The 26,737-nt window shown below is 42.9% G+C and overlaps 2 annotated features.

Moving 5' to 3' along the window:
• Window positions 7,552–8,751: an enhancer, noted in NCBI's record as "CDK7 strongly-dependent group 2 enhancer chr3:32268147-32269346 (GRCh37/hg19 assembly coordinates)". NCBI's record gives its function as "activates an origin of replication core promoter dependent on BRD2, BRD4, P300/CBP, MED14 and CDK7 cofactors, with strong dependence on CDK7, by STARR-seq in HCT116 cells {active_cell/tissue: HCT116}" and the evidence as "EXISTENCE:reporter gene assay evidence [ECO:0000049][PMID:35650434]".
• Window positions 15,663–15,863: a silencer, noted in NCBI's record as "peak4587 fragment used in MPRA reporter construct". NCBI's record gives its function as "represses an SCP1 promoter by STARR-seq MPRAs in K562 erythroleukemia cells {active_cell/tissue: K562}" and the evidence as "EXISTENCE:reporter gene assay evidence [ECO:0000049][PMID:32103011]".

Here is a 26,737-nt window from a genome sequence, read left to right as displayed (position 1 = left end):
CCCACTCAGCCACCTGAGTAGCTGGGACTACAGGCAGGCACAACTACATCCAGCTAATTTGTTTTTTATCCTTTGTAGAGGTGAGGTCCCACTTAGTTGCCCAGGCTGGTCTCAAATTCCTAAACTCAAGTGATCTTCCCACCTCAGCCTCCCAAAGTGCTGGGATTACAGGCATGAGCCACCATGCTGGCTCCAAGCTTCATTCTTAAGTGCAGAAAAATGTCAAAAGAAAAGCTAAGCCCTGGGCTCCCATAATGACTTAACACAGAAGACAGCTTCAAGCTGAGACTTGTGGGAAGTATTTGATTTGTAAAAATGGAGAAGAAAATGGAAACAGGTACAGCCCAAGTGATACCACATGTGCCAGGATGAGCAGGTCCTGTGCAAATTAGTACAGAAAAATCTAAGATCTGTTAGCATGGAGTGTAGGGTTAAGGGTTTATGCAGAGTCTAAAATATGGATGCCACAAGGCCATATTACTCAACCAACCAAAGTCATAAGACACAGCACTCTCAAAGGTCTGTAGGGCCCAGGCCATTCAATGGAAGCCCAGGACTCATTAATAATTGAAAGAAATAAATGGACAGCTTATGACTTCCACCTGCTCTCTGAGAAAGAGAGGATCAAGGGACATTCCCATTTTTTAGGTAATTTTCATAGGTTTATGTTTCTCTTCACTGTTATTCTAATTTTAAATTATGGTGGTTTCATTCAAGAATCATCAATGAATGTTAAAATTAGTGGGTGAAAGTGTGATGAGAAAAAGGATATTTACATCATCTCTTAAAAAATAGAAGTAACAAAATAACAAAAAGATATATCATTTCAAAGTCTTCAGAGGATACTATTCTCCCTTTGAAATTCATAACTGTACAGTGGAGAAACCTTTGGGATATCACCAGACATTATGTACCTCCTAATATGATGTAGTGAGATGGATACAACATCACTTCTGTGATATTCTTACCAAATGCATAACCTGAATTTAATCATGAGGAGGGAGCAGACAGACTGAAATTGAGGGACAGTTTATTAAGTGTCAAGTTCATGAAAGACAAACACTAAGGAACTGTTCCATACTAAAAGAGACTAAGGAGACCTGACAATGAAATGCAATGTGACATCCTGGATTAGAGCCTGGGCTGGAAAAAGAACAATAGTGGGACAATTGGTGAAATTAGAATACATTGTGTAGATCAGATAAACATTGTATCAGTGTTACATTGATACAATGACATTGTATTAGTGTTAATTTCGTGATTTTGATACTTATACTTAAATAAGTGTTAACATTTTGAGTATCAGTAAAAGCTTATATAAAATCTTTTTACTATTTTCCCAACTTTTTTTTTTTTTTGGAGATGGAGTCTCGTTCTGTTGCCCAGGCTGCAACCTCCACCTCCTGGGTTCAAGTAACTCTCCTGCCTCAGCCTCCCGAGTAGCTGGGACTACAGGCGCCCACCACCACGCCCGGCTAATTTTTTGTATTTTCAGTAGAGATGGGGTTTCACCGTGTTGCCCAGGCTGGTCTTGAACTCCTGAGCTCAGGCAATCCGCCCTCCTTGGCCTCCCGAAGTGCTAGGATTACAGGTGTGAGTCACCATGGCCGGCCTATTTTTGCAACTTTTTAAAGACTGAAATTGTTTCAAAAAGAAAAGTTAAGAAAATAAAAATAATTACTCATGATTGATTAAAAATAGAGCTGTCTAATCCAAACAGTAGTTCACACTCTCCAGGCACATTGGATTCTGTGGTTTATCCATCTTAGAACGTCCTGCCTCCCTTCATCTTGCTATTAATACCTGTCTTATAGCGAAAGAAAACAGGAGCTTGGCTGAGAAGTAAGAGTGTTCTTCCCACTCCAGTCCCCAAAGCCACCGGTCAGCCTAGTCCATCTTCAATTTGAAAATAGGAAGAGATGGAACCTAAATCCATTCAGTAATGAACTTTTGGATCTCGGGTGGGTTTGAGTTCCAAGAGGCTCTGTCAATTTGACCAGAGGTTTTAAGCCCAAATGACAACAGGGTTAGGCATATAAGGTAAGAAAATAAGTGATTTGGGCCAGACTGTTTTCAGAATGGCCTCTTGAATTGTATTCTTCTGAACCAGACACATTTGGGCTTACATATTAACTTTGTATCAAATTCTTCACTTACGCAAAGAGTACATTCACTTTATTTTTCTCAAAACATATGACCTCCTGGGTCTCACTCTCATTTTTTTCTTTAGTTTGAGACATAGGGACAAGAAATATTTCACTTTCCTCTTCCTATGAGGAAAATAACACTTGGAGAAACTGTGAATGTCATGAAATCAGCCCCAACGTTTGAACTCAGCTGGGGCAGAATAGGGAGTTGGGGCGGGCGCAGGGGTGTTTGTGGCGAACAGGAGCACGAATGCTCGAAAGGGGCCATCTCAGTTTCTGCCCCACCTGATTATTGCCTTGTAAGAATTTGGGCCTAGTGTTGACAGAAATCCCAATTTTTATTAATTAATATTGGCAGCTAGTATCCTTTATTTTAAAACACAGTGTGTCGCCTTTGTGGGCCAAACAAACATATCTGAGAACCATCAGTTGATGCCTTCTGATTCAGGCAAAGCAAGAAGACTTTCTCTTCTCTCTCCAGCTGCCTCAGACTCCCACCTCCCTGCAAGGCCCTCCAGAGGCCTCAGAGGACACAAAATTTGGGTCAAGAGGGTGACGCTTAAGAGCAGAGTAGCTGGAGGAAATATTTAGAAGAGTGGTGAATAAAACGTGAAACAAATGGGATGCTGCTAATGGCAGAAGAGGGCTTTCTGAACCAGGGAAGTTTCAGATTGGGAGACTATGGAGGGATGTTAAGAATTAACTTATTTAGAAGTAGGCATTCTTAGAAGATGTAATAATAACTAATTTATTGTTGGCCTATTTTGTGCCAAGCACTATCTTAACTCTTTGAATAATTTTATTAGGTAACTGATTTTAAAAAAAATTTTTCTGTGTTGGGGCAGTGGCTCATGCCTGTAATGCCAGCACTTTGGGAAGGCGAGGTGGGCGGATTGCTTGAACCCAGGAGTTCAAGACCAGTCTAGGCAACATGGTGAAACCCTGTCTCTACAGAAAATACAAAAATTAGCTGGATGTGGTGGTGCATACCTGTAGTCCCAGCTACTCACTTGGGAGGCTGAGGTGGGAGGATCTAGCCCGGGAGGTTGAGGCTGCAGTGAGCCATGATTGTGGCATTGCACTCCAGCCTGGGAAACAGAGCAAGACCCTGTCTCTTTAAAAAAAAATTCTTAGGAGTCTTGACCTTAATGAGAAAGATGGATTTCTCAAAGTTCTTAGCTGCATCCATTGGCTCAACATTTATTTATCTAATATGCCACTCACTATTAAAATACACAACTCAATAAGACACTATCCCTTCCCTTAATGAATAGGTCATCAAGTGAATGAGAGAGACCAGTACATCAGTGATGGGTGGGACCCCTGCCAGGCCACAGGTGGGCCCAGGGCCACCCCCATGTAAGGGGAGGACAGTGAGGTCAGCCTGGGGCTCAGGCAGTTTCCTCAAGGAGCAGCCATTTAAACTATTTTCAAGGGCTATTCAAAGTTAGCTAAGGAAAGAACAAGGGGACAGGGGAGGAAATTCTAGAAAGAGGGACACAACCTGTCCCAACAAGATGCATTATGACCAGTGTGTTTGCTGAGAAATGCAGCTAGAGGGAGTTTCAACCCTCTACCCCCGCAGCATAGGAGACAATGGGTCATCCCTGTTCCCTCTCCATTCCTTCAATAAATGTTCAGTAAATTGTACTTGGCAAAGGGCAAGATGTGGAGAAATTCCATGAATGAGCATTTATGAAGCTTGAGGTCAAACCATACTCCCATCCTGTTCCAGATAGGGAAAGGGCACAGGGTATGTGTGTGTATATATATGTGTGTGTGTGTGTGTGTGTGTGTGTGTGTGTATAATCTTAGAAGGGTGAAATACTTGAGTCTTTTCCTGGTCTTCAGACTTTTTACTTTTTTTTAGCAATTACTGTGACAAATCAGTAGAAAATTTAAATTTTTATATATATTTAAATGTATACACACATACATTTTTCCACAAAAATCAATAAGAGGACTAGAGGATGGGGTGGGGGTGGGTGGATACACACAGTTAACTTTGTCCTTTGTAGGGTGGCTTAGTTAACCCCAATCAGGTTGCAGAGCAGAAAATAACTGAGGTTTATTGAAGAAAGGGCATGTTTACCTGAAACAGGTCTTGAAGGGGCCCATTCAAAGAAGGAAACAGCATAAATGACAAAGCAGATGGAAACCCATGAATGACTGTGTTTGAGGATGAAGCCCAAGTGAGATGGACATTGGTTTTAGAGAAAAGATCATCTGAGTTTGGAGGAGCTGCTCTAGGAGTTCTGTGGAATGATGGGAAATCACAAGGCAGTGGCTGCTAAAAATACCTTGTGCATGTTAATAGCACCTTGTCGAAAATCCACGGGCCAAAACCTACAGGCTTTATTTGTATTTTACTCACAAAAATTCTAGGCCCCCTTAAAAGTTCTTGGAAAAGGTGAATATGAAGGTCCTAAAGCTAACGCCTTTTTCTGCCCAAGGAGGAGCAGGAACCTGTCCATCCAAAGCTGACAACTTCTAAAGAAGTGCCACGATAGTTGCAAATTGAAATCAGAAGCACATCAAAAAACTGGACAGCAGACGAGGCATGGCATCTAATGCCTATACTCTCAGCACTTTGGGAGGCTGAGGTGGGCTGATCGCTTGAGCCCAGGAGTTTGAGACCAGCTTGGACAACATGGTGAAACCCCCCATCTTTACAAAAACAAAAAACCCCCAAAAAATTAGCCGGACATGGTGGCACATACCTGTAGTTCCAGCTACTCAGGAGGCTGAGGCAGGAGAATCGCTTGAGCCTGGGAGGTTGAGGTTGCAGTGAGCCACAGTTTCACTACTGCACTCCCTGGTGACAGAGGGAGACCCTGTCTCAAAAAAAAAAAAACAAAAAAACAAAACAGAGTAATTACACCCAAAACATGCCTCACCAGAAGACTCTCCGAAAGGAACACATTAGGCAAGCAGTTTATGGAGTGGTTATTTGCTTACCAGGTTCTTTTGCTGTAGAAAGAATTAATTGGAGGGCTCTTCTGAGCCAAAGGAGCCAACAAACATTTAAGTGTTTGTTTATGGACAGTAAACTATTTGAGGAGACAAGATGGAGCTGAGAAATTTAAAGGTGGCTAGGGTCTTTATCTAAAGAGTCACCACCAAGTAACATCAATAAAACATCAACTTTGTACAAAAGATATATTTAAGTATGCATTCTTGAAGAGTTACTGGCAAATAAAAGGTAAAATGTATTACAAGGTTTTTCTGGAAATTCTATTGCCTATCTTTTATAATGCCAAGAATCACTCCTTTGTTTTTTAATTTCCATGTTCAAATCCACTTTGCTGGAAGGTAAGTAACTGGTCCTTTGGGCCCAGCCTGTGGTTGCTTTGGGAGTTGGGGGAGAGGCTTTGGGCCGGGGTAGCAAGGCCTCCATTGCACAAGCTGAAGTAATGTTAGCATTAGGTGTATGACTGCATGACAAACTGTTCCTCCCCTCTCTTGACGTGGTGAATCTGTAACCAGAAAAGCCAGTTAGATCTCCTGACACATTCGGAGGGTGGAGGCTGGTGGGGAAGGAGCAGGGGATGCCTTCATGGGAGCTGCGCTATCACAGTGGTGAGTCCTGATGCCTTGCCTGTGAGGGCCTTCACAACCTTCAGAGCATGATGGCATTGCCAGAGAGAAGAGAATTCACCATGGACACCTAGCCTAGTGCCTGGCAGATGGTAAGCATTCAACAAGATCTGGAGAGAGAATGGGGTTAAAAAACGTGGTACTTTTCATAAAGTCAGAATATTATGAGGCCTCCAAATATGGCATTGTGGACAGGTGAGATCCAACTGGGCACTGAGCCTCACATATTGTTATTATTTTTCTTCTCTCAATCTCTAGGAATGGTGCACATTCGCTTTATCACACAAGGAGGAGTTTTATGTAGGGTTTTTTTGTTTGTTTTGTGTTTTTTGAGACAGAGTTTCACTCTTGTTGCCCAGGCTGGAGGGCAATGGCGGGATCTCAGCTCACTGCAACCTCTGCTTCTGGATTCAAGTGATTCTCCTGCCTCAGCCTCCCAAGTAGCTGGGATTACAGGTATGCGCCACCAAGCCTGGCTAATTTTTGTATTTTTAGTGGAGACAGGGTTTCACCACATTGGTCAGGCTGCTTTCAAACTCCTGACCTCAGGTGATCCACCCTCCTCAGCCTCCGAAAGTGCTGGGATTACAGGTGTGAGCCACCACGCCTGGCTGTGTTTTGTTTTTGTTTGAGACAGAGTCTCACTTTGTTGCTCAGGCTAGAGTGCAGTGGTGCAATCATAGCTCACTGTAGCCTCGACCTGCTGGGCTTAAGCAATCCTTCCACATCAGCCTCCCAAGCAGCTAGGACCACAGGCATGCACCACCATGCCCAGCTAATTAAAATTTTTTTTTGTTTGTTTTTTGTAGAGACAGGGTCTTACTATGTCACCCAGGCTGGTCTCAAATTACTGGCCTCAAGTGCTCCTCCTGCGTCAGCCTCCCAAAGCACTAGGATTACTGGCATGAGCCCCCATGCCTGGCCTTATGTAGGCTTTTTGTTTTTGTTTGTTTGTGTGTTTTGAGACGGAATTTCGCTCTTGTCACCCAGGCTGGAGTTGAATGGTGCAAGCTCGGCTCGCTGCAACTTCTGCCTCCCAGGTTCAAGTGATTCTTATGCCTCAGTCTTCCGAGTAGCTGGGATTACAGGCACCTGCCACCACGCCCGGCTGATTTTTTGTATTTTTAGTAGAGATGGGGTTTCACCATGTTGGCCAGGCTGGTCTCGAACTCCTGACCTCAGGTGATCCACCCGCCTCAGCCTCCCAAAGTGCTGGGATAATAGGCATCAGCCACCACGCCTAGCCTATGTAGGCTTTTTAAGACCCAAATTAGAGATTACAATCATGTCCCTTCTGTAGTCTTTTCACTTGTTTTAACTACCCAGATATGGCAGAAACTCTGGTTGTTTGCTAGTGTCCACTCTTCCCTCCTTCAAATATAGAATTCTAAAACTTTAGCTGAACAGACAGCCACCTAATTAAAGATATTTCCCAGTGTCCCTCACAATTAGGTGTGGCTAAGTAGCTACACAAATAAAAATATTAATAGTTTATACTTTTATATGTGCTGAGTAATTATCCTAAATGCTTTAGATTTACTAACCCATGTACTTTTCACAATAACTTCATGAAATGTTTAAAAACAGGAGCACAAATATGTTAAGTGACTTGGCCAAGGCCACATAGATAGTAAATGGTAGAGCTGGGGTTTCATCTCAAAAACGGGGCTGCTGCATTTGCAATTAGCTTACATTTAGCCCAACGGATGAGAGCAGAACTTCTACGCCACGCCCTCAAAGAGGAGAGGATTGCTGTCTATTGCCCCTTCTTTCTTTCCTCCTAGCTAAAAATCACCATCTTAAACTACAAGATGGATGCTCCATACTGAAGTTGGCAGGACCGCACGATAGAAAGTGCCTGAGTGCAGCGGGGTGCAGTGGTCTGTAATCCCAGTGCTTTGGGAAGCTGAGGCAGGAGGATCACTTGAGGCCAAGACCAGCCTGGGCAATATGGGAAGACCCCACCTCTACAAAAAACAAACAAACAAAAAATTAGCCAGGTGTGATGGCATCACCATGTAGTCCTAGCTACTTGGAAGGCTGATGCAGGAGGATTGCTTGAGCCTAGGAATTCAACGCTGCTGTGAGCCATGATCATGCCATTGCACTCCAGCCTGAGTGACGGCCTGAGACCCTGTCTCTTAAAAAAAAAAAAAAAAAAGCCTAGGGCTCCCAAAGCCACAGAACTATCCATCAACCTGGATTCCCAATGTTCAGATTGTTACATGAGAAAGAAAGAAATGTTTAGCTGATTTTAGCCATTGTTATTTGGAGAGGAAAGGTAGTCTTTTATCACAGCCATACTGTAACAAGGGGTATATCCTAACTAATCTAGGTCACAGAGGGAAGGGAAACATATCTTTGAACACCTACTGTATATCTGGTGTCTTCATACATTATCTCATTCAATTCCTACAAAAGTTCTGCAAAATAGGCATTGTTAGTCAGTATCTGCAATGAGGAATCTGAAGCCCAGGGCGGTAATTCATCCAAGATCACATAATTGGATAGTTGAATAGGCTGGGATTTCAATAAATCTTCACCAAAGGCCTCTTTTTCACTATTCTACAGCAGTGCCTCCTGGAGATGGTGACTCATTCATAAGAGACATTTCCATGTCTCTAGCATGATTCATAACCCTTTTATTATTCTTCAAAGCAATCCGATCAGATTGGTACTCTTAGTTCCAGTTCATAGATGAGAAAACAGGAAAGACATGCAATTATACCCCCAAAGTCAACAGAGAGCCTAGATTTAGAAGTTGCAGCTGCAGAAATTAAAGACTGATGATTCCTTTACAAATAGAACCAGTTTGAGACCCCAAAAGCCCTTATTCTTGAAGCTTGCAAAATATCTGCTCATTTTTTATAAATTTTAAAGGAGGTGGATGTTGCTATGACACAGAAATGCTGTGTTTAAGCTGATTTTTAGGGATCTTTCCTAAAAGGTTTGACTATTCCAGGTTTGTGGGTCATCTTAGACCTTCTAAGCTGCAGGGACAGTTGCATGAAGCCCCTCAGCCTGGAAACTGGCCCTCTTCCAGAGACAAAGGTGGTAGTTACTGAGATTCTCTCATGCTCTGCCATGTATAACCCCAAGTTGGGAGACCTGGAAACCTCCCCACCACCCAGCCCCGAGTCCCAAGTCCCACTGTTTTTCTTCTTTGGATTCCTGTGGCAGAGCAGCTTTCTCTGTTACCGGTCTACCTGTGGGAAATGGTGACCAACTGCTCCCCACTACATATTTCCTGGGTTAACAGGATGGTATGGTTTGACTGCATCCCCACTCAAATCTCATCTTGAATTGTAACTCCTACAATTCCCACATGTCATAGGAGGAACCCAGTGGGAGGTGATTGAATTATGGGGGTGGGTCTTTCCTGCACTATTCTTGTGATAGTGAATGAGTCTCATGAGATCTGATGGTTTTAAAAATGGGAGTTTCCCTGCACAAGCCCTCTCTTGACCTGCTGCCATCCATGTAAGATATGACTTGCTCCTCCTTGCCTTCCACCATGATTGTGAGGCCTCCCCAGCCATGTGGAAGTGTAAGTCCCATTAAATCTCTTTATTTTGTAAATTGCCCAGTCTCAGGTGTGTCTTTATCAGCAGTGTGAAAACGGACTAATACACAGGAATAGCCAGATCAAGCTGGGTCTCACACCTAATTTCCCAGGGAAGGGGCACAATGTTGTAGCTTAAGCCCACTGCCTGCCCTTCATACAATCAACAATGCCCAGTGAGAATATAGCCATGGGGATTTGGGAAAAGGGCTGTTCTGATAGAAACTGCAGGAGCCAATGACTTAGGACATTGTCACAGGGACTTAGGACAGGGTTCTCAACCCTGGCTGCACATCAGCATCACCTGGGGAATCTTAAAAATCTACCAAAGTCCAAGCCCTACCCCAGAGACTATGATTTTTTGGAGCTTTGTCAAAAGTTGCCCAGGTGATGATTTGTAGGCCATAGTAAGATGTTTGCAATGTATCTTAACAGTACAGAGGAATCCTCTCAGAAAGGTTTTAAGTGGGGAGCTGTGTGTTCTGAAAAGTGGTTTGCTTTGTTCTGTGACTTGTTAGTGGCTCCATTCCCTTCAGGTGTTAAAGAAACATCCGAAGATCGGCTAATTGAAGGTGGTCCACAGACCAGTGACATCATCATCACCCGGGAGCCTATTAGAAATGCAGAATCTCAGGCCCCACCCCTGACCTGCTGAACTGGAATATGCATTTTAACAAAATCCCCAGGTGCTTTGTGTGCACGTTAGATTTAAGAAATGCCACCTTGAGACCCTCATTCTCAAACTTGGTTGCACATTGGAGTCATTTGGGGAGTTTTTTAAAACACTGAAGCCAGATCCCACCTCCAGGGATTCCAATTTAATTGATCTGAAGTATAGTCTGGGAATTGAGCTTTTTTTTTTTTTTCTTTTTTTTTTTTTTGAGACAGAGTCTCACTCTGTCGCCCAGGTTAGAGTGCAGTGGCGTGATCTTGGCTCACTGCAACCTCCGCCTCCCGGGTTCAAGTGGTTCAAGCAATTCTCCTGCCTCAGCCTCCCAAGTAGCTGGGATTACAGGCACCCACCACCATGCCCAGCTAATTTTTTTGTATTTTTAGTAAAGATGGGGTTTCACCATGTTGGCCAGGCTGGTTTCAAACTCCTGACCTCAAGTGATCTCCCCACCTCGGCATTCCAAAGTGCTAGGATTACAGGCATGAGCCACTGCGCCTGGCTGGAATTGAGCTTTTTGAGAGCTTCCTGGGTGACTGTAGAAGGCAGCAAAATTTGAGAACCATGGCCTTATGGGTTTTCCCTTCCCACACTCTCCACTCCACTTCTCTTCCTGCCCCCAAATTAACTAAAGAGTCAGTCCTGAGAATCTCCTTTCTGTTAGGACAGTGAATTCCAAGAAAGCAGTTATCCTAGTTATCCTATTGCGCTATGTGATTTAGGTTTAAGGTAATTAGCTCCAGGCAAAAATACAGCCCTAAAGATTCTATATGAATATTTTCAAGAATTGATTGAAAAATTTGATGCCTGTCTGTTTCTCTACCCCTTCTGTCTCCAGAACCACACCCCTAGGCATCAGCCTGGACTTTTCTCTCTCTTCCAAGCCACTTTTTGAAGGCAGGGAAAGGAAAAAATAAATATTAGGCTTCCTGATGCTCACCTTGGTGTCCACAGCACAGAATGCTATTTGTTATTGATTCGATGTCTCAACCTGGGGAAGTCTTCCATTTTGCTTAAGGTCTCAGCCTTCTGGGCTGCTCAATTTATGCTTTGCCCCTGCTGTGAGCAACTAAACTAAAAAGCTCTCCAGAACCCGTCAAAACCAGTTCAGGTTTAGCTAGATAGCATCAGAGGGAAGTAATTGAAAGCTACTGCAGAACAATTGTCCTTTTATGTCAAGGCAGCTTTCACGGAGGGAGGGGACCCCTTTGCTTTATTATTCTCAAAATTAGCCTCACAGGAAAGGGTCTGTGCTCTCTCCCTGAATGTCAATCATCACCCCAGTCCAGGGCTTTTCAATGTCACCTCTCAATTTCCCCCACTCCTTTTTCTTTTCTTGAGTAATAAGAATCACGTTTCCTAAAATTGATCGAGGGAGATGTTGAAACTCAAAACCAGAGAACTTAAAATCTGTGGGAGGTAGGAGGCTTTTCAGCAAACAGTGACTGGTGAAATATGGCAGAGTCAGACATAGAAGACTGAACCAACCAGGACCTTGGTCATCTCCCCAAATCTAGGGAGCCACCAAATCAAACAACAGCCACCTGGAACTACGAACACATGCCACGGTTCCTCAGAGCCTCCTAAACCACATCTTGAAGTTGAAAGATGAGTTCATGTATGAAAAGAGGGATTTGATAGCCATTGAGATTTCTTCCTCAACATCTATCAACCCCTCCACTATGGGGGCCATCATGGAAGAATGAGTTTGATCCCACCCCCAGCTCCTGGCTGGACCATGATTGGTTCAGGACAGTTGGGGGCTATCCCACTTCCCTTTGCCATCGTGATTGGTATGGAGAAAGCTGGTCTGAGGACCAAGCCAATATGTTGGGGAAAGATAGAAAAAATGGAGATGCAGCCCTCAACGATAACTCTCAATGCTCAGGAGTCAGTGTCTACATACCCTAGCTTCATTATCCTGGAGTGAGATAATTCTGAGCCATGTGTTGTACATGATTTCCCAGAGCTTCCCTGGGGGTTAACCTCCAGGTGCCCAGTGTCTGTAAGTAATTTAGCAATGCCCCCTCTATTGGCTGCCTTCTCTACTCCTCATTACTTCACAGTTCTCTTCCCATACTCCCTTCAGATCCCCAAATAAGTGACTTATGCTCAAATCCTTGATGCAGGTCTGCTTCTAGGGGAAGTCTAAACAAAGACAGTTTTGTTGCAGTTGAATTTTTAGACTAAATGTGTGGCTTTCTCTTTGTGGATGCCAGGATGTTTGCTGGCCCTTTGCCTGTCTCACCCTTTCTCCCTGGTGTCTGCCAGACAAACTCCTACTCGTGCTTCAAGACCCAATTCAAGCCTGTCCTTCTCTGTGGGTTCTTCCTAGGTCACCTAAGAAAAGTTAGTCATGGCATCCCTTAGATCTTCACTGAACGATGCACAACACTTCAGTTTTGAAGTGATCTTATTAGAGTTAGGTGTTTACCTGGTGATGTTTCTTCTGGTCTACGGGCCTTAAGAACAGATACCTCTGTTCCCCTAGCACAGGGGCTAGCACAGAGCTTATCACACAGCTGACACGGAACAAATGTTGGTTGAGTGGATAAAAGAATAATCTAAATAACTAGAGACCTGACTCGAGTCTAATTAGAGATTGACATCCAACTCTCTAGAATTCAGAGGTTAGACTTCCTGCCTTTTGAAACTGTCACTCTAAAGCAGAGGCTCTTAACTTGCATGGACACACGAAATCTGGGGACTCCCAGAAATTGTCTGCAAAACAAGGCCTGTGCAAGTATTGATCTGAGCAGAAGGTCTCTGCTGTCATCAGATTTTTAAGGAAGTCTGTGATTCAATTCATTCAATGACATTTGATAACTATTACAGGCCTATTACACACTAAATATTGTTCTAGGTACTGAGGATAAAGCAGTGAAAAAAAAACAGACAAAATCCCATCCATACAAAGGGGGAGACAGAGAATAAATCATAAATAAAGATGAGTGCCATGTAGAAAGACACAACTCAATAAGGAGGAAAGGTTAAAGGAGGCCTGTGCTGTTTATCTGGGATGGCCAAGAAAGGCCTCTCGGCAGTGGCAGTAGGCAAGGGGGCAGGAGGCAGGGAGACCAGTGAGGAGGTGACTGCAATAATCTAGACAAGCGGTGATGGTAGCTTGATTCTCGTGGTCACAGGGGAGGAAATAAGAAGTGGTTACATTCTGGGTATATTTTCAAGATAGAGTCAACAGGATTTGCTGATGGATTGGATGGGGATATGAAAGAAAGGATTGGTAATGACTCCAAAGTTTTTGGTCTGAACATCAGGATGAATGGAATTGCCATTAACTGAGATGGGAAGTCAGTCTGTAGGCAGGCAGTAAAGGGCACTTTAATCACTGTCCCAGAGAGACTTCACAACTGGTGACAAACATCTCTCTTTCCCCAGCTGTTTTCCCCAGCTGTTTCCTGTCTTTTGTGAACCCCAGAAAGATACAACCAACAAACAGTTTTTTCCAAGACCTTCCTGAAGCTGAGGCTTCAGAAGCTAGGCCACATGTAGGTATCCCACTCAACTGTCCCAGTAGAGCCCAGGCTTCCAGCCATCTCCACCAAGGTGCCAGGCATGCGTGACACCATGTTGGATTCTCACAGCCAATCCATCCGCCAGCTGTGCAACCTCAGCTGACACCACAAGGATCACATAAATGATCCAGCCAAGTCCTGCTTAAGTCCAGCTTCTGGTGGTGGCTGCTGGAGTCTAGCTCTACAGCCTGTGGGAGAGGTATTTGTTTTCATAATTAATTATCTTGGGACCAGCCTGACCCAGACAAAAGCATGAGAGAGACATTGCTTCTCCTTAGCATTCTGCAGACTTTTCATCCAGGTTCTGTCTCGCCCATCAAAAGGAACATGTGTCAGTCAAAGCAGCGGAGATTGCCTGCTCAAAAAGATCCAGGCTATAGCCCTAACTATCAGCTGGCCAGTGCTAGGCAAGTTATTTAATTTCTTCTCCCCTGGTTTCCTAATCTGGAAATAACAATGATTGTCATAAAGATTACAGGAAATGAAGGCGTGTGTTCCATTACACTTGCTGCATGACAAACTACCCCAACAGGTAATGACTTAAGACAACCACCATTTTATTAAATCTCATAGATCCTGTGGGTCAGGAATTTGAGCAGGACTTGGCTGGATCATTTATGTGATCCTTGTGGTGTCAGCTGAGGTTGCACAGCTGGTGGATGGATTGGCTGCGAGAATCCAAGATGGTGTCATGCATGCTTGGCACCTTGGTGGAGTTGGCTGGAAGCCTGGGCTCTACTGGGACAGTTGAGTGGGGTACCTACATGTGGCCTATCTGGAATGACAATCTTAGTTGACTTTTTTTTTTTTTTGAGATGGAGTTTCACTCTTGTTGCCCAGGCTGGAGTGTAATGGCGCACTCTCGGCTCACTGCAACCTCTGCCTCCTGGGTTCAAGCGATTCTCCTGCCTCAGCCTCCCAAGTAGCTAGGATTACAGGCATGCGCCACCATGCCCAGCTAATTTTGCGTTTTTAGTAGAGACAGGGTTTCTCCATGTTGGTCAGGCTGGTCTCGAACTCCCAACCTCAGGTGATCCACCCACCTCTGGCTCCCAAAGTGCTGGGAATATAGGCGTGAGCCACTGCACCCAGCCCTTAGTTGACTTCTTACATGGCAGCTGGGTTATCCTAGAGCAAGCATCCCAAGAGAACCATGTAGAAGCTGTACGGCCTTTTCTGACCTAGCCTGGGGAGTCAGATGGCATAATTTTCTTCACATCCTTTTAGTTGCAAGTGAGTTGTAAAGCCAGCCCAGACTAAAGAGTATGGGAATTAGACCCCAGCTCTCATTAGAAGAGTGACAATATCAGATTGTACAAGAGCATATGGGACGGGAGATAATGTTGTCGTGTCTTTAGAAGTGTTAAATGAAATGAGGAAAATAAAGCACCTGGCATAGCCGCAGGCTCATAGTATGTCTTTCAGTGGTGGCATTTCCTCTCCCTTGACCTTTTTGTCCTTGTCACTTAAGCCCCTTCTGCTTCCCAGCAGGGTTTTGCCTTAAGTCTTGCCCTATGGAGGAGAGACAGGTAATTGTTCATACTCATCTTATGCTATTTGCGTACTGCCAAAAGCAGTGATTCCTTCCAAACCCACAGGAATCAAACTTTAATTGTTAGAAGAGATGTTTTTGAAAAGTGGTTTAACTGGAGCCTCTGAATCACAGCCCAAGCTACTTGCTATAGTCAAGACCAGTGTTTACAGGAGAGAGCCCTAGACTTGGGTTCAGGAGGTCAGAATTACTAGCTATTTGGCTTTAGGCAAGTTACTTAAGTTTCAGAGCTGCTTTAGTTTCCTTAACTGTACAACAGGGATAGAAATACCAGCATAAGTTTCACAAATCAAGCAATTGATTTGTGAAGTGTAAAAGACTATACAAATCTCAGGTGCTGGATTATATTTTTTAGGTCATTCCCAATGAAATGGTGGCTAAACTGAGGCATTGACTAGGGTCAAATTTGTGTTTCACTCTGATGGTTTTTAAACATGGCTGCAAATTCTTTGACCCTCCCCCCATCAAGATGTGAAGTCTATGTCCTGTCATGTATATTGTACCCTTGAATGTGGGCGGGCGGAAGTGATACTATGTGACTTCAGCTAGATCATAAACGGAGATGCTGTTTTTACCTTATTCACTGGAATAGTTACTCCTGAAGCCCTGAGCTACCACATAGGAAGTCTAACTACTCTGAGGGCCTCCATGCTGTGAGGAAGCCCAAGCTACATGAAGAGGTCATATGCAGACACTCTGGTTGGCTGTCCTAGTGAAGCCCAGATGGTCAAGTCATCTCAGCCCGAGTGCCAAACATATGAATAAGAATGCCTTCAGATTATTCTAGCCACCAGCTACCCAAGTCTTCCCAGCTGATAGCAAGACATTATAGAGCAAAGACCAGCCAGTTCTCTGGAGCCCTTGTCTGAATTCCTGACCATTAGAATCCCTGAGCACAAAAAAATGGTGGTTGTTTTACACGAGCAAGTTTTGGAGTGGTTTACTACACAGCAGCAGATAACCAGAACAGCCACTATTAGCATTTTTTGCCTTGTGCATGCTACTTACACATTCAGATCCCCTGTCTGAAAAATGGGGATGTAATAATAGTACTCACTGTCTAACTGGGTTTTTGTGAGCATTGGATAAGTTAAGAGACTTGTGTCTGGCATAGTAAATGCCCAAGGAATACTTTTACTGTTGTTCTTACTGACATTCAGTTACTTAAGGCTATGATCTTGTAGAGCTGTTTGAGAATGAACACTGTCAGTTTTCAGGTGGGATCATTTTAAGCAGCTTCACATCTAACATTAATGCCTCTCCTGGAGGCCCTGCTCCTCACCTGTCACAGGTGTGTTACATCTGCTGGCTTGGGGACTCAGTGATGGTGCCCTTGGGAAGTTTAGGCTTCAGGGGAGGGGCTTGTGGCAGATGTGCAATCTACTCCTTTTCCCTCTCCCTACTGAAAGCCCAGCTGGCTCACTTTAACTATCAGTAGAGAAAGCAATTTTCCAAATTTCCTTTCTCCCTAATTCTCACAACGTCCTAGTTATTAAGATGTCTGTATCAGTCAAGGACCCTCCCAGAAACGGATGGTACCCTCATATTGGGTGATCTGGGAAGGGTTTAATAAAAGAACTATTTGGGAAGTTATGGAAAGGGTGGAAAACCACATGGGGCGGGAGGTGTGCAGTGGCCCAGAGATTTTGCTCCTAGGTCTGGAGGGGAGAGGACACAGAGAGGCTGTGTGGTGGCACTACTAATAGATACTGTCTTACAAAAGGTGAAGCAGCCTCACTTGCAAGGAGGAAGTTGGAAGAATAAACTCCCCGACCTCCAATTTCCTGCTGAGGCCCCCACTGGCCAAAGAGGGCTGTCTGGTACCCAGAGCAGGATGGGAAAGCATAGAGAGGAGATCTGCAGGAGCAAAGGGAGCTCAGCCAGCCCAAAGTCATCATCCTGATTTAATTTACAGAGGAAAAACCGTGAAGGTTCAAACAGGTTAAGTACCTTTCCCAAGGATATAAGGAAATGGATGCCACTTCCTGGAGGGATGGCCCAGTCATTTTCCTTATGAGTAGGTATTTGAATCCAAGTTCCCTGATATTATTGCAAGATGTGGGTGGTGGTGGTGGTGGTGGAGGAAGTGGAATATGACCAAAATACATTTGAATTGGAATCTTTTAAAATTATTTATATCAAGTGGCTTCATTGGGAGAAAGATTCTCTCACTAAGCTGGGCTAATGGCCGCAGGCTGTGAGGAGAGCGAGTGATTAAGGTAACTCCTTCTGAACCCTAGGAATCATCATCTTGAATGGAAAGACATCTAATGTTTTTTTCCTTTTTTCCACTGGGTTTTCAATGTGACTTCAACTCAGTTCTTCCTTTTCTCTTACATTTCAGCGAAGTCTGGGTTCTAATGAAGACTGAGCTGAGAAGTATTTGCTTCCCATGCTAGTAAGCAGGCAATATTTGTGTTATCTAAGAAGTGTATACCAGCCGGGCGCGGTGGCTCATGCCTGTAATCCCAGCACTTTGGGAGGCAGAGGAGGGTGAATCACTTGGGGCCAGGAGTTCAAGACCAGCCAGGGCAACATGGCAAAACCCCGTTTCTTCTAAAAACATATTTAGCTGGGTGTGGTGGCGTGTGCCTGTAATCCCAGCTACTTGGGTGGCTGAGGCATGAGAATCAGTTGAACCCTGGAGGCGGAGGTTGGTGAGCTGAGATTGCACCACTGCACTCCATCCTGGGTGACAGAGCAAGACTGTCAAAAAAAAAAAAAAAAAAAAGCTGTGTAACATAGGCTAATGCAAGAGAGATTTGGGCTGATTTCAGGCATGAACAAAGTTGACTTTTCACTGAATCTCTCTGAGCCTTATCTAGGAGGCTGGAGTGTGGCCAGAAGGACAGATTCTGAAGCCAGACTACCTGGCTTTGAATACCAGCTCTGCCATTTCTAGCTATGTGACCATCAGCAGTGGACTTAACCTCTCTGTGCCTTGGATTCCTTATCAGGAAACCAGGAATTGTAATAAGAGCGCCTGCCTTCTAGTGCTCTTGTCAGAATTACACTGCTAAATATTGTAAAGCACCAAGAGCAGCCAATGCTTGCCGCCAAGTAGCAATAACTATTAGCAATTTTGATCTCATAGTATGGTTGTGAGTACCCAATGAGTTTATAACCTGTAAAGTACTCAGCATAGTTCTTGAGACATAGAAATGTTAGGATTTGTTTTTACTTGTCATTCATTTATGCAACAAGTATTTATTGAACACATAGTAAGAAGCAGACTTACTGTGAAACTAATTTTGCTTAATCTATAAGCCCCTCAATTGCACAGCCCCTTCCAAAGGCCCTAGAAGGACCCCTAAGAATGTCTTTATATTTTTTTGCCTAATTATATATTCTCTTTCTTAAAGGATACTCTCAAAACTGCAAAACTTTCTGACCCTATAAAACCTGGGTCTGCCTTCTTAAAGTTTATTATTAGGAGTAGTAATTATTATTTGGGTGAAAATCATAATTATTTGTTGGAAAATTAGGTGTTGTTATAGGTGACTTACGAGGTCTTATTTTATTACCCTGAATCTTTATGCATTTAAATATCCCAAAGAAAGCCAGCCGTGGTAGACTCAGAGGCCAGCGGCAGAGCCCTGTGTATTCAAACGGGGATGACAGCATTTCCTCCTTTTTCACCTCCTGCTTCCCCTTTGACACATTGTCATCATGGTTGTCCCATCTTGTTAAGCCTGAAAGCTTATATGAAACAAAATGGTTTGCATCAGCTGCTCCCTCTGATGCATTATCTCAAGGCTATGGACTGGGCTAGGATACTTTTGGTAGGGAGGAGGCTTAGAGAGCGTGGAACCCCAGACCTTCGATTCACAGATACAAGAAAAACCTGGATAGATGAGTGCTCAAAGTTAGGACCTAAGCCCAGCAACTCCTTTCCCTACAGACAAGCAATGATCCATATTTGTCCAAATACCACGTAATGGGTGTCCAGATGTTTTTTCACAATGTACCGACTGTTCAGGTATCTGCTGCACACACGCAAATGTCATTTCCAGCCAGCCCCGGTGGAATGGGCTGTTTGGATGGCAAATAAGACTTTGCTCCCTCTGAAAGCCTCTGTACACAGAATGTGTGCAGCCCATCTGACCCTAGGCAGCTGACTCGGGAAAACAAACAAATTTGTCAACAGGGACAGACATTAAAGACACACACAGAAAATTTATTTTACATGGTTATAAGTCCCTCTAGAAAAACCTGTGCTTTTGTGGACTAGAAATACTTACGTGAGTAAGCTAAAAATAATTAGACATTTTAAACCATAGCAAGGTATCATTTCATATATATCTAGTGCTATTTATTGCCATTCTGGGGGAAAAAAGTATAAAATAGAATTGCCCATCATATAGGTCATTGTGGGGAATTACATGCAAAATTAATTTATTCCTTACGCCAGACAAGCACATATATTATCTGCAGTGGCTCGGATTGAAGTTTTAAACAGTGCTGGGAATGGCAATGGGTAAAAAAGGAAAGCTTCGGATGGGAGCTTTCAAATAAATACTCCGTTAGAACCGGTTTATTAACTTTTGATATTAAATGAATATATCTATGACAGACTTGTTCTGGGAATAAATTATCTTTAACCTTCTCTGTGTACCCAAATTTCCATACAACTTTCAAAAATTACACTGGGCAACCTTGCTTTTAATAGTGCCTTTTATACATGGCCATTTGAATAAAGGCTCTTCACAAGTTAAATAATTTAATTGCACATTATTTTTAAAAGCCTAGCTTTAAAAGTACTAGGGGATTGAAATGGATGGTGATTTTTATTTCAGTTGTTTTTTCATCCAGCTCCTTCCTTTTTGTTCCTATAACGTATTATATAAACTTTCATTAGAGCCAGTGACAATCTGAGTGTACATGTTTTTTCCAGCTGTCATATCCATAGTTTCTCCTCTGACTCTTAAAACTGTCCCACCTTGGGGACAGTTGCCTGGTTGTTCTAATTATAGCACAGGTCACACTGAGTTGTGGCATCTCCCTACTGAGATTGTTGGTTCCCTGAGGAAGGGAGCCCTTTATTTTCTTTTTATCTTTGTGTCCTCAGTGCCAAGAACAGAATCCGAGACATGGTAGGTACCCTGGAAATGTTTAATGAGGGACTAACAGCCAGTCATCAAAAGATTGATATTTCCCACTGAGATTTTTTGATTAAGCCCAGTCTTAATTATTTCATTCTAGTTACTGTATTGTGCTTGAGCCTACTCGCTAATCACAATTGGCCACTAGTAATGACTGAAGAAGAAAAAATGAATTGACTTGAAATCCCTTTGATTGAATGATAGAGTTATAAGAAGACACGAGGCAGAGGAAAACAAAGGAGGAGGTAAGTATCACCCAAGGCCTGGGAGTGTTCCACAAACAGCAATGATTTCAAAATTTTCTTATGGAACAGGATCTGCTACTCCAAAACCAAAGTTCGGAAAATGAAATCTCCCTTGCAGTCAACAAGTATTAAGATCTTTCAGTATTTATAGTGATATCACATGCTAAAAAGAAAACTATTTATAGTGCCTGACTTGCGTGTGGCTGTAGAATAATATGTTTTAATCTTGAAAACATAAAAATGATAGTTTATAGAATTATAATAACTAATCCTTTCTGAAAAGGTCTAGAATCCTTAGGGAAATGCATGTTAAGATTCAGTTTTAATATCATGTAGTTCACTTTTATTTAGTAGAGTAGAAGAAATAGTAGTTTTGATTCATAAATTTATTCCTCTGCTGAAATTATTCCCAAAACATAAATATCAGAACCAATGAAAAGGGAATAAGATTTCCCTCTGATAACAAAGGATATTTAGGAAAACTGTCACTGGATAATTTGAGTCTTACAGCTGTTTAAGGAAATGTCTACCGTGAGCACTTTTTACCACCAAATTGTGAAAGCAGTAAGAACTCATTGTCTAACAATAAAGAAATCCAAGAAATGAAAATTGCTTCTTTTCTGTTCTTCTCTCCAGAAGTAACAATAATTTTATTTATTTATTTATTTATTTATTTATTTATTTATTTATTTATTGAGATGGAGTCTTGCTCACTCGCCAGGCTGGAGTGCAGTGATGTGATCTCAGCTTACCAAAAACTCCACCTCCCGGATTCAAGTGATTATCCTGTCTCAGCCTCCCGAGTAGCTGGGATTACAGGCACCTGCCACCACGCCCAGCTAATTTTTGTATTTTTGGTAGAGACGGGGTTTCACCATGTTGGCCAGGCTGGTCTTGAACTCGTGACCTCAGGTGATCCACCCACCTCGGCCTCCCAAAGTGCTGGGATTACAGGCGTGAGCCACTGTGCCCAGGCAATAATTTTATGTTTTAATTTAAGCAAGATTAAAAAAGGTTTTTGGCCAGGCGTGGTGGCTCATGCCTGTATTCCCACCACTTTGGGAGGCCAAGGAGGCTTGAGGCCAGGAGTTTGAGACCAGCCTGGGCAACATAGTGAAATCCCATTTCTACAAAAAATAAAAAATTAGCTGGGCATGGCAATGTGTGCCTGTAATCCTAGCTACTTGGGAGGCTGAGGTAGGAGCATCACCTGAGCCCAGGAGACTACAGTGAGCCATGATTGGACCACTGCACTCCAGCTTGGGTGACGAAGTGAGACACTGTCTAAAAAAAAACAAAACAAAACAAGAAAAAAACCCAAAACAATCCAGGCATGGTGGCTTATGCCTGTAATCCCAGCACTTTGGGAGGCGAAGATAGGCGGATGGCTTGAGCCTAGGAGTTCGAGGGCAGCCCTGGGCAATATGGCGAAACTCTATCTCTATCAAAAATAAAAATAAAATAAGCTGGATGTGGTGGCATGTACCTGTAATCCCAACTACTTGGGAGGCTGAGGTGGGAGGATCGCTTGAGCCTGGAAGGTCGAGGCTGCAGTGACTCTAGCTGGGGTGATAGAGAGAGACCCTGTCTCAAAAAAAAAATTTTTTTTAAGTTAGTATGCTTTGTACACACACACACACAGACACACACACACACACACACACACAAACACATGCATACATCAATGCAAAGATACTTTTTCTGGAGGTCAGTGTCACTTTACTTGTTAATGGAGTATAAATCAGTTACCAGTTATAATCCTAAAATCCAATGATCCAAAAGAGCCTTTCTTTATTTTTAATTTTAAAGAAAAGAAATTGCAAACACAGTACAAAGAGGTGCTTGGAACCCTGAAGCCAGCTTCCCCCGATGGTTACATCTGGTATAACCATAGTATACTATCCAAGCCAGGAAAGTTTTTTTTTTTTTTTCTCACTTCTTTTTGAAACATCAAGTCATCATTTTGGGAAAATCCTGCTGTAAATATGACAAGAGACACTTTGAATTCTTTATACCCACATAAAATTTTTCTACAAGGTTTCTATATAGTAGAAGGACCTATTAACAACTTTAATTAGTGAAAGTAACAAGATATCAGGTCACAGGCCTGGGTAGATGTCAACAACATAACATGTAATGGGCTTTGACGGACAATATTGTTTTAAATTCTACACCTTCCTAGTTTGAATAAACTGAATTTAGAGTAAAAAATGGTATTGATGGCCCAAACACATTTATACTTAGTGGTAATGAGACTGAAAATAAATTTTTCTTAAAGTACTAGGTACTTCATAGTACATCATATATACTTTGGAGCATTGCTCCAAACAGCAATCAGCAGCATCTGTAACAATCATAAGAACGATGGCATCAGTATATTTTAGTTGGAACTTAAAAACTTGCCTTCAAGGCCTCACCCACATTAGTTCCTCAAAAGCTGTGTGTTTTATTTTGGCACCTTCATTTGATACCTCATTCCCTTCACTCTTGAGGTTGCATTTAGCAAAATCAAAGAATGCAAATAACACAGTAATAAGAGTATTCCCAAAATGCAGTTTCATCATTATTAAGCAGGTGGTTTGGGGCTTGGCAAACATAATGACAGTGTATTTCATAAGCTAGAACTATGAAGCAGAGCACAATAGCAAGTCAAAAGAATCTGTAAGATAAAAAAATAATTTATTTAATTAAGAAATACTTACTGAAGGTCACCCGGTGGGCAGCACAGTCCTGGGCACTGGGTATACAATGCTAGATTAGACTTTTTCCCCCAACAGTTTGACATCTCAAAAGTAGAGAGGTAGCTAATGGTGTCTTAAAAACACTATTGGGCCAGGCGTGGTGGCTTACACCTGTAATCCCAGCACTTTGGGAGGCCGAGGCGGGTGGATCCCAAGGTCAGGAGTTTGAGACCAGCCTGGCCAAAATGGTGAAATCCCGTCTCTACTAAAAATACAAAAATGTAACTGGGCATGGTGGCACACGCCTATAATCCCAACTACTCCGGAGGCTGAGGCAGGAGAATCACTTGAACCTGGGAGGCAGAAGTTGCAATGAGCCGAGACCACACCACTGCACTCCAGCCTGGGGCACAGAGTGAGACTCCATCTCAAAAAAAAAAAAAAAAAAAAAATTTAAAGCACTGTCGTCCAGATAGTAGTTGTCACTGCCTACACGTTTGTGAATTTAGTTATAATTCCTTTAATGTTTTGGTCAGACTTAGTCCATTTTGTATGCTATAACAGAATACATAAGACTGGGTAATTTATAATGAACAGAAGTTTAGGCCCAGCATGGTGGCCCATCCCTGTAATCTCAGCACTTTGGGAGGCCAAGGCAGGTGGATCACTTGAGGTTAGGAAATCGAGACCAGCCTGGACAACATGGCAAAACCCCGTCTCTACTAAAAATATAAAAATTAGCTCAGCGTGGTGGCGGGCACCTGTAATCCCAGCTACTCAGGAAGCTGAGGCAGGAGAATCACTTCAACCTGGGAGGAGGAGGCTGCAGTGAGCTGAGATCATGCCCCTACACTCCAGCCTGGGCAACAGAGGGAGACTCCATTTCAAAAACTAAATAAAATGAAAAATAAAAAGTTTATCATTTCTTGGTTCTGGAAGCTGGGAAGTTCAAAATCAAGGGGCCAGCATCTAGCGAGGGCCTTCTTGCTGCATCATCTCATGGTGGAAGGGCAAATAGAAGGTGAGAAGGAGAGAGTGGATAGAACTCATAGCCTCAAGCCCTTTTAGAATTGGCTTTAATCCATTCTTGAGAGCAGAGTCCTCATGACCTAAGCACTTCACATTAGGCCTCACCTCCCAATACTGTTGCATTGGGGATTACGTTTTCAACACATATTTTTTGGGAAGACACACTCAAATTATATCAGTCAACAAATCATTTAAAAAGCATTTAAAGAAGGAATGTGAGTCCTGGTTATTGTCTAAAACCCATCTATTGACCCAGAAAAATCATTAAGACTCACAAAATGGGTGTCAAAGCATTGGGAAAAACCTGGAAACAAGAATGGAGCACTTTTTTAAGAGATCCTGAATATATATGATACTTGTGATGTCTTAGAGGACAATATGATTCATATACAATCTATACATTATATATGTATTAATAAACATATTTTCCTTTTACATATACACAAGAGGAAGATATGATAAAAATTTGTGTAAATAAGTCTACTAAAAAGGCCAAAGTAATCCAATAGGAAAATAAAAATCTTTCAATGGATGGTGCCAGAACAATGGATACCAATGAGAAAAAATAATTTGCTCTCTACCTCATACCGTATCCAAAATTAATTTGAAACCTTAAGGTGGTGGATAATAGGGTATAAAATTTCAACTTTTTTGTATGATTGAAAATTTTCAAAATAAGATGGTGAAAAAAATTTTTAAAAAGAAGTCCAGGCTGGGCACGGTGGCTCATGCCTGTAATCCCAGCACTTGGGGTGGCCAAGGCGGGTGGATCACGAGGTCAGGAGTTCAAGACCAGCCTGGCCAAGATGGTGAAACCCCATCTCTCCTAAAAATATGAAAATTAGCTGGGCTCGGTGATGGGCACCTGTAATCCCAGCTACTCAGGAGGATGAGGCAGGAGAATCGCTTGAACCCGGGAGGCAGAGGTTGCAGTGAGCTAAGATCACGTCGTTGCACTCCAGCCTGGGCGATAGAATGAGACTCCATCTCAAAATAAATAAATCAAAATAAAAAATAAAAATAAGTTCAAAAGAGCTCTTTCAAGAAGTACAAAACAAAAATTTTTAGTGATAAGGAGTCATTGTCTCATAGTTTAATTGACAGGGTTTCTCTCTATTAATTGTACACAAAATAATGATATATCTTACAGTTGATGAAATTTTAGATTTGAAGAAATATAATCGTTCATAGGGTGGAAGAGAATACAATCTTCCCTGACCTTTAGGAGCTTACAGTAGAGAAAGGAACATGAACCTCAGAATGGGTGGCATTGAGTGCTGTAATGGGACCGTAGGAGCGCACCTACAAAGCAGCTCTTATATTTTAGAGCTTTATAGCTTGCATTGGGCTTCCACGTTTATATTTATGGCATCTTCTTAACCATCCTGTAGTAGGCCACATGATTAGCCCAATATACACTGGTTTAATGAACCCATAAAAAGAATGGGGCCCAAAGAAGTTAAATAACTTAACTAGAATCATTTGGCTAGTAAAGGCTCAGTCTCAGACAAGGTTCTTCCAATAATTCTTCCTCCTAAGCCACATTTGTTTTAGGTTGGGTTCCCTAGAAGCAGAGCCTGAGATGGGGATGCCTTTGTGCAAGTGATTTATTGAGGTTGTGATCTCAGGAAATACCTGTAAGGGACTAACGGATGTAGGATAGGGCCAGGGATTGAAGCTAAGTGGAGATGTAGGTTCAGCCCAAGTCCAGCCTCAGTCCGATCTCATGGGCAACCCTGGAGAGGAAGTTTTCCCACTTTGGGGTAAGAGGCTGGGATTACATACCCCTCTATCAGTCTGTCAATGGCGTTGGGTGCCACACCTTCTCATGTTGGGAATATGCATCTCTGAACAAGGTGGTTCTGAGTGCAGTTATCTGTAGAAGGTGGGGAGCTGTGACCCATTAGCAGCCAAAAGTCAGCAGCAGCTAGGGAATGGTTCTGCCAGCCAGGTAAGGCGATCTTGGTGGGGCAGCAACCACATCTACTACACCACCGCCGCTCTCAGTGAGAATTCTATCAGAGACATAGCCTCACATATTATCTTAGGGGAGGGTCATTGTCCTCGCTAATGACTTCCCTGTGAGATATTGTGAACAGGTAGCATTTAGCCATTAGGCCTGCTCTGAGAGTTAGACAATATTTACTGCAAAATAGATATTCCCGTGACATTATGTTCTGCTGGTCTAGAGGTCTTAGTTCCAGAGGGAGGAATGCTGCTATCAAGAGACACAACGATTCCATTAAACTGGAAGTTAAGATTGTCACCTGGTCACTTTGGGCTCCTCCTACTTTTAAGTCAACAGGCTAAGAAGGGAGTTACAGTGTTGGCTGGGGTGATTGACCTGGACTACCAAGATAAAATCAGTCTACTACTCCACAATGGAGGTAAGGAAGAGTATGCGTGGAATACAAGAGATCCATCAGGGTGTCTCTTAGTATTACCATGTCCTGTGATTAAGGTCAATGGGAAACTACAATAGCCCAATCCAGACAGGACTACAAATGGCCCAGAACCTACAGGAATGAAGGTTTGGGTCATTCCACCAGGTTAAAAAAAAAACATGACCTGCTGAGGTGCTTGCTGAAGACAAAGGGAATACAGAATGGGTAGTAGAAG

The sequence above is a fragment of the Homo sapiens genome, chromosome 3 (assembly GCF_000001405.40).
Source record: "Homo sapiens chromosome 3, GRCh38.p14 Primary Assembly".
Taxonomy (NCBI): Eukaryota; Metazoa; Chordata; class Mammalia; order Primates; family Hominidae; genus Homo; species Homo sapiens.
This window is presented reverse-complemented; position numbering and strand designations above follow the sequence as displayed.